At 38.4% G+C, this 21,454-nt stretch overlaps 1 protein-coding gene across 12 annotated transcripts in view; it reads left to right on the forward strand.

The window, feature by feature from the left end:
• The window catches only part of TMEM45A (transmembrane protein 45A), an 84,826-nt gene extending 70,885 nt beyond the window's left edge, over nt 1-13,941 (forward strand). For 7 of the 12 annotated variants that reach the window (XM_047448418.1, XM_047448419.1, XM_047448420.1 and 4 more), the window contains 2 exons: nt 5,319-5,464; nt 7,106-7,417. In XM_047448418.1, the coding sequence (XP_047304374.1) occupies nt 5,319-5,464; nt 7,106-7,256 (297 nt within the window). In that variant the 3' untranslated portion in view covers nt 7,257-7,417. Of the gene's footprint in view, nt 1-5,318; nt 5,465-7,105; nt 7,418-13,421 lie in introns of those variants that run through there. The other 5 variants (XM_047448425.1, XM_047448427.1, NM_001363876.2 and 2 more) reach the window with 1 other exon arrangement.
• The last annotated feature ends 7,513 nt before the right edge of the window (nt 13,942-21,454 follow it).

Genomic DNA, 21,454 nt, shown 5'->3' on the forward strand with positions numbered 1-21,454 from the left:
GCAGGACTGATGGATGGGATCTGGAGGGCTAGTCCACAGCTCTAAACACTCATCTTCCCTAAAATTCTCCTTTCTACACAGAATTTTTCTGTCAATTTCCATGAATTTGTTGTAAGAGGAAGGCATGAGACCCCAGCTTAGATAACTGGGCCTTTGAACTGGGAGTTGACTATGTGACTCAATTTTCTCTCTTGTTATTCCAAACAGTGAACATAGAGGACCTAGAAATTCTTGCCTTCTTCCGGGGGCTTCAGGGACCTGGGCTCTGGTCACTTTGGCTCCCACAGTGAGCTTTCCTAGCAGTATATAAAAGGGGTATTGCAAAACACTGATATCTCCAAAGCAACAGTCTAACCAGCAGGGTGGCATTTTCCACCTGCAGTTTCTGAGTATTGTGAGCTCATACCTCTAACTTAATGACTGATGTATCTTCTTCCACAGATGTTGACACATCTTGCCTTTAGAATATATCCATGTTCTAATGCAGAGGCCCCAGCCCTTGGTGGGTGAGGCACAGCGGCAGTGATGCAAATGTTTTTGCAGCTGTTTGGGGATGGAGAGGCAAGGGTGTGCATTACTTAATTTTCCTGTTTCTAAAATAGACAATAACTGTATTCTGTGTCCTAGGATATAAAGAAGGGAAAGAGGAAGTTATTGTAAAGTACCTTGCTAATTTCAACTAATAAGGTATTTTGGGAAAATGTATGACTCTGACATTGGTTGACAAATAAAATGCATTGGGCCAGGACAAAAATAGAAAACCTTGGTTGGATCACTCCACTTGGTCAGGAAGGTAAACTGAATGATGAATCAATGGAGACTGCATGCTTCCACTCATGTTTGCCATTTAGGAATACAGGCCTAATGTTGCCAGATAGTTCTATTTTTACAAAAAAGCTGAAAATGCAAACTTTTGTGTAATGTTTCCTAATTTTTTAAGTGTTGGCAACTAAAGCAAATTATTATTATTGTTTTTTTTTTTTTTCCTTTGAGACAGAGTCTCACTCTGTGGCCCAGGCTGTGGGCCAGGAGTGCAGTGGCACAATCTCAGCTCACTGCCACCTCCACCTCCCGGGTTCAAGCGATTCTCCTGCCTCAGTCTCCCAAGAGCTGGGATTATAGGCACATGCCACCAGGCCTAGCTAATTTTTTGTGTTCTTAGTAGAGATGGGGTTTCACCATGTTGCCCAGGCTGGTCTCAAACTCTTGACTTCAGCTGATCCACCTGCCTTGGCCTCCCAAAGTGCTGGGATTACAGGCGTGAGCCACCACACCTGGCCGCAAATTATTGTTTTAAATGTGCAGGCCAGACAAAGCATGTCTGGGAATTAGAGATGTGGCTCAAGGGCAACAGTCTGTCATCTGGTTTTAATGGTAATATAGTGCCATGTCCTCGTGGGACCACCTTCCATCTCAGTACTGATTATTCAAACCATATCAGAACTGCTGAGATGTCTCAAACTGATCTTGTTATCCAGGTCACTGTCCTTCGTATTGCCCCATATGGAAAGGCTGTATGGTGAAAAGAGTATGGGTGGGAGAAAGAACATGGAGTTTTTGGAGCCAGAAACTACTGGTCTGGATCCCTACCATAGTCGTTCAGCCATTTTGTAATACTAGGGGAAGTTGTTGAAGTCCTTGAGTTCCAATCTTTTCCTACGACATACGAGGATGACGATGTCTTCTTCTTGAGGTTGTTTCAAGGGCTAAGAATTATTGTGATGTTTATGTACATGAGTGAGGATTACCGTTTATGTACATGAGTGAGGATTACGTGACAAGCACGTGGTGGTACCGCCATCTGTCAGACAGTAGAAATGGAAGTTTTCTTTCCAATTAAAGGGAATCCTGAAATGGGAACAAGTGATTAAGGCACAAATCTTAGTTTTCCCCGACTTACTCTAATTATTTGAAATTTCAAACAGAAATGGAATTAATGTTTTATTCAATATTGCACATGAAGTGTTTTTTTTTCTTGTAACCTTTCATTTATTAGACGTGTAATCATGGGCAAATCACTAAATCACCCGATTTTATTATCGAGATAATAAGGATAATAATACATTAAAATGAGGGTAATAATACATCCTTGAAAAGGGCCATTGCAAGGAGACACCTAAACACTGTAACTGACACATAGCCAATACATGGTAGACATTTGTAGGATTATTCATTATATTATCCTGGTTTTGAATTTCATTTAGTTCCAGAAACCTGCAATACATTCATCCAGTTATCTATTATCTCTCTATCTACTTATTGTTTATTGGGATAAAACTTTCCTAACATAACATTAATATTTTTAAAGTGTACAATTTAGTGGCATTTAGTATATTCACAATGTTGTGCCCCCATCAGCTCTATCTGTTCCAAAACATTTTCATCACCCCGAAAGGAAACCTTGGGCCCATAAAATAGTCACTCTCCCGTCTCTCCTCCTAGCCCCCGGTACCACTGGTCTGCTTTCTGTCTCTATGAATATTTGTCTAGTCTAGATATTTTATGTAATCAGAATCATAATATATGTGAACTTTTGTGTCTGGCTTCTTTTACTTAGTATAAATGTTTTCAAGTTTCATCCATGTTGTTGCATGTACTTCATTCCTTTTATGGTCGATTGATAGTCCCTTGTATGAGTATACTGCATTTTGCTTATCCATATCAGTTTTTGAATATTTGGGTTGTTTTCATCTTTTGACTATTATTAATAGTTCTACTATGAACACTCATGTACAAGTTTTGTTTGAATACCTATTTTTAGTTCTTTTGGGTAGAAGTGAAATTGCCAGGTCATATGGAATTCTATATTTAACTTCCTGAGGAATTGCAAAACGGTTGCCACAGTAGCTGCAGAATTTTATCCCAATAAAAAATTAGATAGATAGATAAATGGATGAATGTATTTCAGGTTTCTAGAACTAAATGAAATTCAAAACCAAGATAATATCATGGATACTCCTACAAATGTCTACCATTTATTGGCTATGTGTCAGTTACAGTGCTTAGGCCTTTCCTTGCAATGGCCCTTTTTGAGGATATATTATTATCCTCATTTTCATGTATTATTATCTTCATTATCCAGATAATCAAGATTATCCATTTTACATTCCCATCAGCAATATATAAGGATTTCAATTTCTCCATATCCTCACCAATATTTGTTATTTTTATTGTTATTATTGCCAGCCTAATGAATAAAAAATGGTATCTCATTGTGGTTTTGATTTGCATTCCCCTGATGAACAATGATATCCATAATCTTTTCATGTGCTTATTGACCATTTGTATATTTGCTTTGGGGAAATGTTTCTTGAAGTCCTTTGCCCATTAAAATTTTTTGTTGTTGTTAAGTTTTAGGAATTCTTTTTATATTCTAGATATAATCTCATCGGATATATGATTTGCAAATATTTTCTCTCATGCTGTGAGTTGTCTTTTCATTTTCTTAATAGTGTCCTTTGAAGCACAAAAGTTAATTTTGATGAAGTCCAATTTATCTGTTTTCTTCTTTGGTTGATGGTGCTTTTGGTGTCGTAGCTTAAAAAAAATCAACAAATTTCAAGTGATGAAGATTTCTCCCTATTTTCTTTTAGGAATTTTGTGGTTTTAGCTCTCATATTTAGGTCTTTAATCCATTTTGAGTTCATTTTATATATATATAATTTTATACATGAGTTAATTTTATATATGAGGTAGGGGTCCAAATTCATTTTTTTTCATGTGAATACCCGGTTATCTCAGCACCATTTGTTGAAGACTGTTCTTTCCCCATTGAATGGCTTTGGCACCCTTGTCAAAAACCAATTGACCTCAGACATATGAGTTTATTTCTGGACTCTCAATTTTATTTCATTGATCTAAATGTTTATCATTATGCCAGTATCACACTGTTGTTTTGATTACTGTAGCTCTGTAGTATTGAAGTCCTCCAGCTTTCTTTTTTAAGGTTGTTTTGGTTATTCTGGATCCCTTGCAATTCCATATGAGTTACAGGATCAGCTTTTACCATTTCTGCAAAAAAAAAAAAAAAAAAAAAAAGAACATTGGAATTTTGATGGCAATTGCATTGAATCTGTAGATTGCTTTGGGTGGTATTGCCAGCTCAACAGTATTAAGCTTCCAGTCTATGACTATGAGATAGCTTTCCATTTATTTAGATCTTTGATTTCTTTCAACAATGTTATGCAGATTTTGGTGTACAAGTCTTAAACCTCCTTGATTAAATTTATTCTTAAAGTATTTTATTCTTTTTAATGCTATTGTAGATGGAACTGTCTTCTTTTTCTTTTTCTTTTTTTTGAGACGGAGACTTGCTCTGTCGCCCAGGCTGGAGAGCAGTGGCACAATCTCGGCTCACTGCAAGCTCCGCCTCCTGGGTTCACGCCATTCTCCTGCCTCAGCCTCCCGAGTAGCTGGGACTACAGGTGCCTGCCACCATGCCTGGCTAATTTTTTTGTATGTTTAGTAGAGATGGGGTTTCACCGTGTTAGCCAGGATGGTCTCGATCTCCTGACCTCATGATCCACCCACCTCGGCCTCCCAAAGTGCTGAGATTACAGGCGTGAGCCACCACGCCTGGCCAGAACTGTTTTCTTAATTTTATTTTTGAGTTCATTGCTTTTGTACAGAAATACAACTGTTTTGTATATTGATTTTGTATCCTGCTATTATGCTGAACTCATTTATTAGCCCTAATAGTTTTCTAATGGATTTTTAAAGGAATTTCTATATATAAGATCATGTCATCTGTGAATGTAGATATTTTTGCCTCTTTCTTTCCAGTATGGATGCCTTTTATTTTTCTTAACGGCTTAATTACTCTAGCTAAATCTTAACTTAATTGCTCTAGCTAAGATTTTCAGTACAACATTCAATAGAAGTGTGAAAGCAGACATCCATGTCTCGTTCCTGATATTAGGGGGAAAGATTTCAGTCTTTTACCATTAAATATAATGTTAACTGTGGGCATTTATTTATTTTAAAACCTTTTTGTACTCCAATTTTGAAATAACAGAGTGAAACTGCACAATGTAGAAACCCAAGACATTCTCTTAAAGTCCAGACATTCCTAGCAAGATGACTGTTTATATTTTGAAAACTGATCATTAAATGTCCTTTTAAAACTTTTATGAAAATATGACATATTAGAGACTCTCTATATTACTAAAACAGGCAGCAAAACCTGATGTTTTATCTGTTACATCTTAGATAATTGGAGTTAACTTAGTTATTTACCTCGGAAGCAAGTATTTTGAAATGTACCATTTTTGGGAATGTGATTGGTTATTTTAATATATGCTTTTTGTTCTAAATTACAGATTGGATTTGTCCTGTATCCCCCCAGTGGAGGTCCTGCATGGGATCTGATGGATCATGAAAATATTTTGTTTCTCACCATATGCTTTTGTTGGCATTATGCAGTAACCATTGTCATCGTTGGAATGAATTATGCTTTCATTACCTGGTAAGTTAGCGATTTCTGTTAATGGAAGTTCTGTTCCTTGGTATGTGATTATCAAGACTCAGTGGTATTGAATTTAAAATTCAAAAGGGTATTTCATTCCTTATCATCCCATAAGACAGGGTAGCATAGCAGAACATTATCTGCAAACACAAAAATTCCCAGTAAAAAGAATAAATGCTGGTTTAAAGTTAGTCACTCAACAGTGCCTCAGCTGTGCCTCTGATGCTCACATTTCCCTTCATCACACTCCTCTGTGCCTCCATGTCTCCACATATGCTATTTCCTCTTCTCTCTTCTGAATGGTTTCCCTCACCCTGCACTGCCTATAGTGAGTCCTCCATTTACCCATGTGTAGATACTTCAATTATAGCACTTCTTAAGCTTCGAGTCCTTTTTTGACCAACTTGTGTGTGTTCCATTAAATGTAGGTGTCTGCCTAATTTGACATTGACTAATATTTCTAAAAGTCAGATCCAGTTGAATACATTTTTTATAAGAACCCCAGTATAATGTTCCATAGGTGGGTAAGGAGCAGTAGAACAGAGTTATAAGAACACATATTTTTAGCTGCACTATTTATCAGCAGTATGACTTTGGGCCAATTACTTAACCACATTAAGTACTAGTTTTGTTGTTTGTAAAATGGGGAAATAATAAGACCTAAATGAGATCAAGTATTTAAGCTTAGGACATAATAAGAGCTCAATAAATATTATTGTCTTGTTGTTCTTCCTCTTGTTATTCTTTTCCTCCCTCTCCTCTTCCTTATTCCTCTTTGGCATAAAAAAAATGAATGTGATATGAATCCTACCCATGAGGAATTTTTAGTCTTATAATTAGGACTAAATTAGGGAGATGCACAATGAAAATACAGTGCAATATACAGAAATAGTAGAAGAACAAAGCACTCTTGGAGTTCAGGGGAGGCCTCTTTACAATTGAGAATGAAGCTGCAGCTTGAAGGATGAGCAGGAATAGAAAGGGGTGATCACAGTTCCTTTCTCTAAGGTGGTTAATGCTGAACCACAGTTGGCTTGGCTGATTTCAATGACCAGGCATGAAGACTCCAGCACCTAATCCTTCAGACTTCAGTGCTGATTGAAATGTTCTGTATCTACAATGTCTAATATGGTAGTCACTAGCTATTGAGCACTTAAAATGTGGCTCATGCCACACTAATTTTATTAATTTAAATATCCATATATGTGTGGATAGTGGCTACTGTATTGGACACTACACATCTAGCAGGTTCTCTGATTCCTAAATTGCAGTAGCTACTGCTAGGCCCAGTGAGGTCCCAGCTAGAACAAACTTTCCACCCTTCTCTTTAGACATGGACCCCAAGTCACCCCTCCTGCTCTGTGCTTCTTTGTGCCTCATTGCTGAAGCAGCTCTGGTGCTGAGGCACCGGGTGAAGAAATCATTCCTTTGTCTAGCTCTCAGCTATCTCTGTTCAGCTGCAGGTCAGCCCACTTTGATCTATAGTTGCTTCCTTCTAGAGTTCTAGGTGCTTTGGGTACTAGGAAATTCCACCTTCTCATTCTATTAGCCCCATTCACTTCCTCCAAAGCATGTGCATGTGCTCCTTGTCAAGACTGGCTCTGCCATTGAGTGAAACTTGGCTTCTCCCTGTTGTTCTAGGCTGACTTCTGGGCCTCATCTCCTTAGGGGCTGGAAAGCCTTCAAGATCAGTGCCAGCATCCAAGGAAATGCTCTTCCTCATGTCAGCTCCCCTCCAGAGCCAAAAGAAGACTACTGTCTCTTCCTGTTTCAAAACGCTTCATACCCCTAATGGGCCTCTTATCCACTTATAGTACTCTGGATACTGGACACTCCATTTTTTATTTTCCAACCTTCCCCTCTACCCCCAACACATAATATCCTAATCTTTGTGACCATGCAGTTCCCTCCACCTGGCATATTCACATTAAATGCACGTCTTTTCTATGAAAACTTCTGTGGTGACTCTAGCTCTTGCTCATCTCCCTTTAAGAGTTTTTGTTTTTTTTTTCAAATACACCACAAAAGATTTTATTATGAAAAACATATGGGTAAAATGTAGCAACTATGCGGTTTACAAAATGTTCTATTATTGCATAAAACTATCTTTGGTCTATCACCTTCTAAAACTTCTTACACTCTTTCTTGGTGTTAGGTCAAATCTGCAAATGCTTTATCTGTTCTCCATATCATTAGAGCTCCATCTTCCACAAATATTTTAAGATAGACCTTCCCTCCACAATCATTACTCCCACAGTCTTAATGTAACCAGTGAACATGGACAGCAGCCGTCCAATATACATTCACATTATCAAAACATGATGGAAGCTGTAGATATGCCTAAATGTCCACGTGAGTACATATTTTTTCTAGTAGAGTCCTTGATTCTTTTTTTTAATTTTTTTTGCCAACAAGTATTGTTTACTGCACATATATAAAGATGATTTAATATTGAAAAATTTATTAATTAAATGCACCCTAATGATAGGTCCAGTTTCTTATGATTAAGAAACACCATAAGGTGATCTTAATAGCTACTTAAGAAACATTCGATACAATTTAAACTGATTTGTTTACCTCTTAGAAAACAAGAATGAAGTTTTTGTATGATAAGCAATATTCTTTTTTTAAAAATTTTATTATTATTATACTTTAAGTTTTAGGGTACATGTGCACAACATGCAGGTTTGTTACATATGTATACATGTGCCATGTTGGTGTGCTGCACCCGTTAACTCATCATTTAGTGTTAGGTATATCTCCTAATGCTATCCCTCCCCCCTATCGACACCCCACAACAGTCCCCGGTGTGTGATGTTCCCCTTCTTGTGTCCATGTGTTCTCATTGTTCAATTCCCACCTATGAGTGAGAATATGCGGTGTTTGGTTTTTTGTTCTTGCGATAGTTTGCTGAGAATGATGGTTTCCAGTTTCATCCATGTCCCTACAAAGGACATGAACTCATCATTTTTTATGGCTGCATAGTATTCCATGGTGTATATGTGCCACATTTTCTTAATCCAATCTATCGTTGTTGGACATTTAGGTTGGTTCCAAGTCTTTGCTATTGTGAATAGTGCCACAGTAAACATACATGTGCATGTGTCTTTATAGCAGCATGATTTATAATCCTTTGGGTATATACCCAGTAATGGGATGGCTGGATCAAATGGTATTTCTAGTTCTAGATCCCTGAGGAATCGCCACACTGACTTCCACAATGGTTGAACTAGTTTACAGTCCCACCAACAGTGTAAAAGTGTTCCTATTTCTCCACAACCTCTCCAGCACCTGTTGTTTCCTGACTTTTTAATGATCGCCATTCTAACTGGTGTGAGATGGTATCTCATTGTGGTTTTGATTTGCATTTCTCTGATGGCCAGTGATGGTGAGCATTTTTTCATGTGTTTTTTGGCTACATAAATGTCTTCTTTTGAGAAGTGTCTGTTCATATCCTTCGCCCACTTTTTGATGGGGTTGTTTGTTTTTTTCTTGTAAATTTGTTTGAGTTCATTGTAGATTCTGGATACTAGCCCTTTGTCAGATGAGTAGGTTGTGAAAATTTTCTCCCATTCTGTAGGTTGCCTGTTCACTCTCATGGTAGTTTCTTTTGCTGTGCAGAAGCTCTTTAGTTTAATTAGATCCCATTTGTCAATTTTGTCTTTTGTTGCCATTGCTTTTGGTGTTTTCGACATGAAGTCCTTGCCCATGCCTATGTCCTGAATGGTATTGCCTAGGTTTTCTTCTAGGGTTTTTATGGTTTTAGGTCTAACATGTAAGTCTTTAATCCATCTTGAATTAATTTTTGTATAAGGTGTAAGGAAGGGATCCAGTTTCAGCTTTCTACATATGGCTAGCCAGTTTTCCCAGCACCATTTATTAAATAGGGAATCCTTTCCCCATTGCTTGTTTTTCTCAGGTTTGTCAAAGATCAGATAGTTGTAGATATGTGGCATTATTTCTGAGGGCTCTGTTCTGTTCCATTGGTCTATATCTCTGTTTTGGTACCAGTACCATGCTGTTTTGGTGACTGTAGCCTTGTAGTATAGTTTGAAGTCAGGTAGCATGATGCCTCCAGCTTTGTTCTTTTGGCTTAGGATTGACTTGGCGATGCGGGCTCTTTTTTGGTTCCATATGAACTTTAAAGCAGTTTTTTCCAATTCTGTGAAGAAAGTCATTGGTAGCTTGATGGGGATGGCATTGAATCTATAAATTACCTTGGGCAGTATGGCCATTTTCACGATATTGATTCTTCCTACCCATGAGCATGGAATGTTCTTCCATTTGTTTGTATCCTCTTTTATTTCCTTGAGCAGTGGTTTGTAGTTCTCCTTGAAGAGGTCCTTCACATCCCTTGTAAGTTGGATTCCTAGGTATTTTATTCTCTTTGAAGCAATTGTGAATGGGAGTTAATTCATGATTTGGCTCTCTGTTTGTCTGTTATTGGTGTATAAGAATGCTTGCGATTTTTGTACATTGATTTTGTATCCTGAGACTTTGCTGAAGTTGCTTATCAGCTTAAGGAGCTTTTGGGCTGAGCTGATGGGGTTTTCTAGATATACAATCACGTCATCTGCAAACAGGGACAATTTGACCTCCTGTTTTCCTAATTGAATACCCTTTATTTCCTTCTCCTGCCTGATTGCCCTGGCCAGAACTTCCAACACTATGTTGAATAGGAGTGGTGAGAGAGGGCATCCCTGTCTTGTGCCAGTTTTCAAAGGGAATGCTTCCAGTTTTTGCCCATTCAGTATGATATTGGCTATGGGTTTCATAGATAGCTTTTATTATTTTGAGATACGTCCCATCAATACCTAATTTATTGAGAGTTTTTAGCATGAAGGGTTGTTGAATTTTGTCAAAGGCCTTTTCTGCATCTATTGAGATAATCATGTGGTTTTTGTCGTTGGTTCTGTTATATGCTGGATTACATTTATTGATTTGTGTATGTTGAACCAGCCTTGCATCCCAGGGATGAAGCCCACTTGATCATGGTGGATAAGCTTTTTGATGTGCTGCTGGATTCGGTTTGCCAGTATTTTATTGAGGATTTTTGCATCCATGTTCATCAAGGATATTGGTCTAAAATTTTCTTTTTTGGTTATGTCTCTGCCAGCCTTTGGTATCAGGATGATGCTGGCCTCATGAAATGAGTTAGGGAGGATTCCCTCTTTTTCTATTGATTGGAATAGTTTCAGAAGGAATGGTACAAAAAACCTTTCAAAAAATTAATGAATCCAGGAGCTGGTTTTTTGAAAACATCAACAAAATTGATAGACTGCTAGCAAGACTAATAAAGAAGAAAAGAGAGAAGAATCAAATAGACGCAATAAAAAATGATAAAGGGGATGTCACCACCGATCCCACAGAAATACAAACTACCATCAGAGAGTACTATAAACACCTGTATGCAAATAAACTAGAAAATCCTGAAGAAATGGATAAATTCCTCGACACATACATCCTCCCAAGACTAAACCAGGAAGAAGTTGAATCTCTGAATAGACCAATAACAGGCTCTGAAATTGAGGCAATAATCAATAGCTTACCAACCAAAAAAAGTCCAGGACCAGATGGATTCACAGCCGAATTCTACCAGAGGTCCCTCCAAGAATTTTTACAGCCCGTCGTCTTCACCATGCATTTTAACAATTGGGATCTCTCCTGTGATGTTCACTATTAGGTCATGTGGGTTAGTGTTATCTACTGGCTAGATTGTGTCTCCTTGAGTATGAGACCCTTTCCATATTTCCCACACCTCTTGGCACACTGCCAAACATATAGTAGATTCTCAATAAACCCTTGTTTGCTGTTTTAATAGATAATAGATTTATGTTGCAGAGCTCTTTAAATATAGGCTTCATTTGTTTTGAAATCATGTTTTATATACTTTTCAATTTTACTGTCATATTGTTCTTGAAAAGATAAGACCAAGGGTTAAATTTTCTGATATATTTTGATATAAACTTAAGCAATAGCTTAAGTTAGTTCCACAGAAGTATTTCAAAAACCCCTCTCAGAGCACAAGTAAAGCCATTACATATTGATACAGGCAGGCCAGACTTTCATCAGAAAAAATATAGCAGAAAATAAGGGTAAAGATGCAGGTAGACTGGTGAAATTTTTCATTTGTGAAGAGTGATATTGGTGATTTGGCTTATCAAATTTGTTTGCATATTCCTATGTATTTCTGGGAGTTAACTATGCTTTGTTGATATGGTCACAGCACAATGCCTTTATAATAATGATGCACAGGAAAAGCTTTGCCTAGTTCTTATGACACTCTTTCTCACATCAGAGAAGTGGAGAGCCTGCTGAGCTTCAGCTGCTAATCAGTGTCACATCTTCTAGTGTCAAAAATTATAATCCGTGCTTCCCCCAGGCCTATGGATTCTCTTTTTTTTTTTTTTTTTTTTTTTTTTTGAGATGGAGACTTGCTCTGTCGCCCAGGCTGGAGTGCAGTGGCGTGATCTCAGCTCACTGCAACCTCCACCGCCTGGACTCAGGAGATTCTCTTGCCTCAGCCTCCTGAGTAGCTGGGATTACAGGCATGTGCCACCATGGCCAGCTAATTTTGTATTTTTAGTAGAGACGGAGTTTTGCCATGTTGGCCAGTCTGGTCTTGAACTCTTGACCACAGGCGATCTGCCCGCCTTGCCTCCCACAGTGCTGGGATTATAGGCATGAGCCACCATGCCCAGCCCAGATTCTCTTAAACTATGAAAACAGTCACCAGGATGGAGGGTACTTCTTTGAGCTTCTTAATTCATCATGGCAGAGGCATCACATGCAGTTGAACAGCTTGTTCCCTGCACAAAAGCTCCCCCTGGAAGGGGCTAGTAGCAGGAAGTAGGGGCTGAATTTAGCCCAGACTTGACGTGGGCCTTGACTTGGGCTGCCAACCCTAGAGGCGGGCTTCATGCACTTCCTTTATATGATATAGCACCTGTTTGCAATACACAGTTAGATGTGGCTTTTATGGAGAAACTCAACTGAGCTTGGTTTCATCTGGGCTTGCCACAGCCCAGCGATTCTCTTAATTGTTTTAGAAATGATCAAAGTTGGCTGGGCACGGTGGCTCATGCCTATAATCGGAGCACTTTGGGAGGCTGAGGCGGTCAGATCACTTGAGTTCAGGAGTTCGAGACCATCCTGACCAACATGGAGAAACCCCTTGTCTACTAAAAATATAAAAAAAATTGGCTGGGCACAGTGGCTCACGCCTGTAATCCCAGCACTTTGGGAGGCCGAGGCAGGTGGATCACGAGGTCAGGAGTTCAAGATCAGCCTGGCCAAGATGGTGAAACCCCATCTCTATTAAAAATACAAAAAAATTAGCTGGGCGTGGTGGTGGGCGTCTGTAATTCCAGCTACTCAGGAGGCTGAGGCAGAGAATTGCTTGAACCCGGGAAGCAGAGGTTGCAGTGAGCTGAGATTGTGCCACTGCACTCCAGCCTCCAGCCTGGATGACACAGCAAAACTCCGTTTAAAAAAAAATAATAATTAGCTGGGTGTGATGATACATGCCTCTAATTCCAGCTACTCAGGAGGCTGAGGCAGGAGGATTGCTTGAACCTGGGAGGTGGAGGTTGCAGTGAGCCAAGATTGCGCCACTGCACTCCAGCCTGGGTGACAGAGCAAGACTCTGTCTCATAAAAAAAAATAGAAAAGAAAAGAAAAAGAAAAAGAAAAAGAAATGAGCAAAGTTATCTTCTGAGGCCTAATTAAACAATGATGCAATACATTGGAAAACCACGTTGTATCTGTTTACTTATACCCTGCTTTAATCCACAAAAATTTTCAGGCAGCTCCAAAGCCAAATAAAAGTAATTTTCCTTTTTGGGTTGCCTTCCCCAGTTGCCCAAATAATCTAGACTTTGTGGTATAATGGGTGCATATTGCTCTGGGTTTCTATTTTAAAAACCGTCTAACTTGAGATGCTTTTCTTTCTCCTCAGGTTGGTTAAATCTAGACTTAAGAGGCTCTGCTCCTCAGAAGTTGGACTTCTGAAAAATGCTGAACGAGAACAAGAATCAGAAGAAGAAATGTGACTTTGATGAGCTTCCAGTTTTTCTAGATAAACCTTTTCTTTTTTACATTGTTCTTGGTTTTGTTTCTCGATCTTTTGTTTGGAGAACAGCTGGCTAAGGATGACTCTAAGTGTACTGTTTGCATTTCCAATTTGGTTAAAGTATTTGAATTTAAATATTTTCTTTTTAGCTTTGAAAATATTTTGGGTGATACTTTCATTTTGCACATCATGCACATCATGGTATTCAGGGGCTAGAGTGATTTTTTTCCAGATTATCTAAAGTTGGATGCCCACACTATGAAAGAAATATTTGTTTTATTTGCCTTATAGATATGCTCAAGGTTACTGGGCTTGCTACTATTTGTAACTCCTTGACCATGGAATTATACTTGTTTATCTTGTTGCTGCAATGAGAAATAAATGAATGTATGTATTTTGGTGCAGACACCTGAAATCTTTGTTTTTGTTATTTAGCTACACTCCTCCTTTTTATCATGCAGAAGAAGCTGCAGGACACAGAAATTCTTTTTTGTGAGACATCTCTATAGTACCTGAGTTCTCCACAGGGAATAGTAGGCCAGAAGTCTTCCTAGGGTGTGTGATCTTTCAGAGAAGATAAAAGGGATGATCCTTAGGACACATGGTTGCAAAGCCACGAGAGACTGGGAAAGGAGAACTGGGGTGTTGTCCATAAGAGTAAAAAGTCATCACACACCATAGCATGGCCACCACAGCATCCCCTCTGTTACAGTAAGTGAAAGGTTAAAACCAGGAAAAGCCTTTTATGGAATGCTTGGGTAAAAAGTCAGAACTCTTACCTAGTCTGTGCCCTAAGTAGCCCCCCAGTGGAGAGTCAAGAAATCTTGTTTCTGATTCTGGCTCTACCATTAACCAGCTTTAGGTCTCTGGCAATCACCATGTCCTTCTCTCTAAAGTAAGGAATTGAATTGAATGAACCATGGGGCTCTTCTGGTTGTCACATTTTAAGAATCTAGAAATGGAAGCATATGGAAAGCTATTAGGTTGGTGCAAAAGTAGTTGTGGTTATTGCCATTGCAAAGCAATGTCTTTTCTTCAATGTCAACCTAATAATTTAGTACAATGTTAGTCACAAAGACCAGTATTTTCTATGAGAGAAAAGGAAGGAGGATTGCACGAATCCTTGAGGGATGACCCAAACCTGGAGGAAAGGAGGCAGCCCTGTGCACAGCTAGAGCTGAAATGTGGTCAACTAAGTCCTGAAGGCTCCCTAGCTTTCCAGAAGCACTGGCAAGTCTAGAAGGCTGCCTAGTCTCATATGTGTCACAGTGACATTGAAGAGTCAGGTGAGTAGATTCTTCAGGCCCCAGAACTGGACACATTCATTTTGTCACATAAGTTTGAAAAGAGCAGGTGTGAGTGCCTAAAGGTTTATCTTGAATAATGCCATGAACCTTAGGACGTTTCTGGCATATGAAAATGCCCACATGCCACAGTCCTTGGGGGTCATGGCATTCTGTCCCATATATGTCTTATCTCTCGGGGCTGTTTGCTAGACCCACAAAATTCTATGATTTTGACAAGTTTGGGTTTCAAAGGAGTGAGTGAGTGAGCGATCAGCAGCAGTTACATGAAGCTGGCATCACTGGTATATAGGCCTGAGCAGAAACACTGGGAATAATTAGCATGAACCAGATTAAGCCTGGAATTTTGAAAACTGATAAGTGCAAATAGTCTACAGTCTTTGTGAGAGAGCAGAAATTTCCACTCCTCTAGTCTGCACACAGATTACAAGTAAAATCAACTCAGCAAGTTCTCAAAGGAGGAATATTTGGTTCAGGTCTAAGTCTAAACTCTAGGGCTATCTGCCTCTAGTTCCTGAAATGAGCAATACATTGGAACACTATCATGACAACTTTATGGTTACATTATTGGGTTTGTAATTTGTGACTAACATTTTTATGGAATGATGTGAAAAATTAACAAACTGTGAACTTGAGCCAAAAATGAGACAGTCATATTTTCTTGTGCTAGGAAATCTTAGATCAATAAGTACAATTTTTAAAGGTTTTGATTTATAAAAAAGTATGTTTCAGTAAATGTTCTGAAACCATGAAAAATATTTTATAATAAAAATATAAAAAGTTTTCAACTCTAGATCATGGGATGAGAAAAATTAGTTTCAGGCTATACTTAACCCGTGTGTACCAATGGAATCAATCATCCAATGAATGTTTATTAAGCAGTTACCATGTGCCAAGCAGTGTTCAATAAACTAGGAATACAGTGGTATTCTACAGCAGTACTTAAGCCAAAGTCCCAGTCTTCATCAAGCTTACATTCCCATGGAACATACAGTCAATAACAAAGTCAACAAATAAGTTCTACAGTTTGAGGCAATAATAAGTTATATGAAGAAAAATAAAGCTGGGAAGGAGTATAAAGAATGGTGGGGTGCTGCTATGGTTTACATACGATTTGTTTGTCCCCTTCAAGTCTCATGTTGAAATTTGGTCATCAATGTTTGAGGTGGGGCCTAGTGGGAGGGGTTTAGGTCATAAGGGTGGATCCCTCATGAACGGCATGGTGCCATCCTCATTAGTTTGCACTCTATCAGTTCCCCAGAGAGTTTTCCTGAAAGCTGGTGTTGAAAAGGGCCAGGCACCTCCCTTCCCTCTCTTGCTTCCTTTCTCACCATGTGATCTCTGCACACGCCAGCCCCCCTTCCCCTTCCGCTGTGAGTGGAAGCAGCTTGAGCCCCTCACCAGAAGCTGATGCTGGTGCCATGCTTCTTATACAGCCTGCTGAACAGTGAGCCAAATAAACCTCTTTTATTATAAATTACCCAGCCGCATGTATTCCTTTATTGCAACGCAACAGGCTAAGACAGGTGGGGGAAAGCACCACCTTCCTGAGAGTGGTCCTTTCCTAGAGGTGCTCCACTAACCACCCGAGGGAAAATAGCCCCTGAACTTCTGCCCATCCCTCTCTATCATTATCAGGCATTATAGTGTTTATATATTTCCAGAGCCTTTAGCTCTGAAAGGAAAACCTTATCAAAGAAGGGATGGGGATGGAGGTTTACTCCCTTACTTTATATTTGTATTTTGTCTCCATTCTTCCAAAAACCTAGGATCTCAATTCCTGAGCTTTTGCCAAACTTTGAGTATCCTATGCTTCATTTGTCATAACCAAAGTGGAGAAAACCTTTACATAAATCAATGTTTGATTTCTAGTGCAGGTGTTAATGTAGGAAAGACTCAAGGACATTTTATAAAGCAGACAGAACCCTGTGGATGGAAAGCCTCTGTGGCTGTATAATAGGAAAGTGAAGGGTGGGGACAGATTATTAAGCAATATCAACTTTGGCTGTTGATGTGATACCAACTCCTTAGTGATTTCTGTAATTCTCCAATCTCCTTTGCTTGGGAATCTGCAACCTCTGATTGCACTAACTTCCAGCTCATTGTTGAAATGGGAGGCTTGGTTATGGTACACTCCTCATCGTTTCGTTTCTAGAGAATCTCATTAATCAAGGTTGATTAATTGTATCTTGGTTGTGGATTGATAAGGTGCAGCAAGAGTCAATGGATGCTATGGGAACAATAAAAATAAAAGCTGAGAACTGGGAAATTCTCCCAAAATACAAGCAAATGATAGATTAAAAGTATGAAAGAAAAGTTAATACACCTGAAGAATATATCCAGAAATTCTATATTCTGTTTCATATGCATTCCAGGTAGAGAAAATTGAGAGAATAGAGGATAGGCATGAAATAATATAAGAGAATATCCCTTAATGGCAAGGAAGAGAGATTTTTGCTTTAAGCTTGGAAGGGTGTTTCGAGAGATTTGCAGTGGATAGTGTGGATTTCTGGTAATAAAAATTTAAAAGCTTAATTATGTCTTATACTTTTAAATTCAATTTGTGAATATTGTTATTCTAAGTCTAGCAAATTTTAACACTCATTTTTAAGGAGTCTTTAATGTTTGAATATAATCTTAAATAATTAGATTTCCCTTTAAGCATTTCATATTATTTTTTTTGTGGGAGACTGGAGTTTTATTATTACTCGTATCAGTCTCCCCGAGTATTCAGGGATCAGAGTTTTTAAGGACAACTTGGTGGGCGAGGAGAAGCCACCAAGGAGTGCTGATTGGTCAGGTCAGAGGTGAAATCATAGGGAGTTGAAGCTGTCTTCTTGCACTGAGTCAGTTCCCAGATTGGGATCAGATGAGCCAGTATATCAATGTGGGTGGTGCCAGCTGATCCATCAACTGCAGGGTCTGCAAAATATCTCAAGCACTGGTCTTAGGCTTTACAATAGTGATTTTTACCCCCAGGAGCAATTTGGGGAGGGTCAGAATTTTGTAGCCTCTAGCTACATGACTCCTAAAACATAATTTCTAATTTTGTGGCTAATTTCTTAGTCCTATAAAAGCAGTCTAGTCCCCAGGCAAGAAGGGGGTTTGTTTTGGGAAAGGGCTGTTATCATCTTTGTTTCAACCTATAAACTACAAGTTCCTCCCAAAGTTAGTCGGGCCTGCAGCCAGGAATGAACAGCTTGCAGGTTAGAAGCAACTTGGAGTTGGTTATGTCAGATCTCTTTCACTGTCTCAGTTATAATTTTGCAATGGCAATTTCAATCCCAAAAAACCCTTTGGGTTTTATAACACCTCATCTTAAGGTGTTGGCTAATGAAGATAGAAAAAGGGCAAAGACCATTGTAACTTCTTCCTGTTGACCAGGGGCGTGTGGGGGTAGGTGTTGACCCCAAGGTGAAAGGAGTGGAACCACTTTGCAACTGTCAAAGCATACTCATGCAGTCCTGGCTGAGATTCCAAGGCTTGCATGATAGAGGCATTAGTATTGTCAACTATAGTTTTAGTACCACATTTAAGGAAACAGCATACTATAAGGTAAATAATGAGTACCAGAACAAGGAATGCAATTCCCAGTTTTAAAAGTAAAGATTTGAAAGCATTAGTTTGGGAACTTGTAGCCTGCCAAGAATTTAGAATTTAGGCCAAACTGCTGGAAAAACTCAAGTACAGCTAACAACAGGTATACTATAATTTTTTGAAACATACTTTTTCTCTCTCCAGTCCCTGTTTTTATTAAAAACAAATCATGGGCAAGGCGGGGTGACTCATGCCTGTAATCCTAGCACTTTGGGAGGCCGAGGTGGGCAGATCACCTTAGGTCAGGAATTCGAGACCACCCTGGCCAACATGGCGAAACCTCATCTCTACTGAAAATACAAAAATTAGCCGGGCATGGCGGCACGCACCTGTAATCCCAGCTACTTGGCAGGCTGAGGCAGGAGAATCGCTTGAACCCGGGAGGTGGAGGTTGCAGTGAGCCGAGATCACGTGACTGCACTCTAGCCTGGGTGACAGAGTGAGACTCCATCTCAAATAAAACCAAAAACCAAAAAACACACAAAAACAAATCATGATAGGACAGATGTGTTTACAAAATAAACTTTAGTCTTATTATACTTGACCTGATTATTTGCATAAAGTGCAGCAAGAATACTTATTTTCCACATAGGCTTTTAAAGTTGGCTTTGATGGAACTCTGTTCCATAAGGACTCTCAGAGAAGACTTTTTTAAAGCTGAGCCTAGCCATGGGTTTGTACTCTCAAATACTTAGAAGTTGGGTAAATTCCTCTCCTCTTGAGATACCAAGATAACTCGGGGTTTTTGAGCCTGTTAGAAAGTGACATTCTTTACTTACCACAGGTCAGGAACCCTGTACAGGGACTGCACAGACAGGGTATGAGGCCAGTTTTCCCAAGGGGTAGGTATTGGCTCTACAAGTCAGATTTGATTCCTTAAAGGAAAGCATACCATTCCAGCCAAGCTTTGGTATACTAACCAGTTTCTCTGATGGTGCTCTGTTGCAAAAGAAAACATTCTTATTGCACTTATGCCAATAACTATATTGCCATAAGTTAAGAATACTCACAAATAGTTTCCAAATTCTAGAGAAAGCAGTTAGAGAGAAATACATACGCTCCAAATTTTGTTTATAGGAGTATACTTTACTCAATTGTTAAAAGCTGTAAATAGCTTAAAAGAAAAGTTTACTTGGCTCTGAAAAACAAAAAGGATCAGCAATGTTTTTAGCAAAAAGTCAAAAAGGATTACTTCAGTCTTATATTGGTTCAGTCCACGCAGTTAACTTCTGTTCTGCTTCATATTCATGAACATTTCAGCACTCCATGAGAGTTCTGAAAGTTTTGCTCTATCCTAATGTCACAATCTCCAAAGTTATCAGAAACCTGCATTTAAGAACACCTGTTAGAGTTGTATAGCTGATTATAAAATCACCATTTAAAGAGGAACAGACCAAAATAATAATTGTCTATAGATGACAAAAAGTGTTAGGGCAGCCACAGTCAAAGACACAATTGACAAGGAAATGTGTTACCTCTGTAGCACACAATAATTTCACATAACGCAACACTTATAATTATTACTGATACCATAGACTGAGTTATATCAGAATTATAGGAGTTTCACATAATTTTGGAACATATACCAATAACACATTTACATAAACATAGCCCAAAGAAAGCCAAACACCATTTCTTATTTGGCAATGCTTACTGTATTATTTTTATACCAAATAAGCCAAATATATCACTTTTGGACTTTAGAGGACATAATATCTAAAAGATTAATTATGTCAGAAAAAGATATATTTTATAATTTGGTTTTGGAAAGTTTGTCAAATATCAAAGGTTTGAAACACTGGATATGACAAAATAGAATCCCAGGTCACTGTAAGTCATTCATTAGCTAAAATGGTAACTCCAAAATTTTTAAAAATAAAAACCTTTACTCTGATAGGAGATTTAGCTTTCCAAACAACAAGATCCAATGAAGACAGGATGAAGCCAACTGAATCTGTTTGTCCTCTCTCCCCTCCCTTTTTTTTGGAGTTTACTCAAAAGGCAAACAAAAATCTTTCATTTCCTCTCAATACTACATAAAAATTTTTCAAAAGAGGAAACCAAATTTCATGTTTGCATTAGTGCATCTTTAATGCTTAAGCTAGGTTTTAATAAAATTTTATAAATCTATCCAGTTTTAATTAGTTTGACCATAAAGTAAGATTTGCATAAGCTTTTTAGAGCCCTTTATAATTTTCTGTTAAACAGCAGATTAATTTTCTAAACAAACTCTGCTATTTAGACACATGGGCCCAGCCCTGCATTAGTGTACTTCTACTTTAACATTCAATCTACAGAAAAAAGTTAAATAATCCCCTTCAAATCCTAGCCAACTTGCTCATGCCCACAGAACTTTCTGCAAAAGATCAAGCCTTCATAAACCCTTTTCAACTTGCTTAAACCTTCAGTTTTGTCCCATTACTCTTATAGTTTAAGACAATCTTTAAAACCCTCTGAACTAGACAAAATTACATTCCCTTTAACAAAAACCATATTCCCATGTCTTCTTTCATCTTTTACCAAAAACACATTCTACTTTCCTTACGTACCTTGTATATAAAACTGTTTCTCCAGTAGTCTCAACTATGTTAACTCTTAGGAACTTTTATTTTTTACGAGAAACCTGATAAGCAAGCGGTTTTAATTATGTACTAAATGTGGAGCCTAGGACATCAGACAGAAGTGCAGACAAGGCCTGACTCCTTCCAGCATAGCTAGGGGGGCATGGCTAATTTCACATGTCCCCAGGCCTTATCTAGAGTCTCTAATGGCTCCAAAGTAGGTAAGTCGAACAATTTTCAAAAGTCAAAGAAGCAGTTTATGAACTTAAAGCATTTAGCAAACCTGATATCTGACCTAATTTAGATCAAATGTCTAAATTTTGAAGACATGTTTATTTTACCAAAAATAATTAAAACTGTCTTTATTTCTGAAAGATTACCAAAGTCACATGAAGAAGAAGGCATTAAAAAGTTTCTATTTTTCTGACAAAATATTTGATTTAAGTGCTTATTTTTC

This window comes from Homo sapiens, chromosome 3 (genome assembly GCF_000001405.40).
Source record: "Homo sapiens chromosome 3, GRCh38.p14 Primary Assembly".
In the NCBI taxonomy this organism is placed as follows: domain Eukaryota; kingdom Metazoa; phylum Chordata; class Mammalia; order Primates; family Hominidae; genus Homo; species Homo sapiens.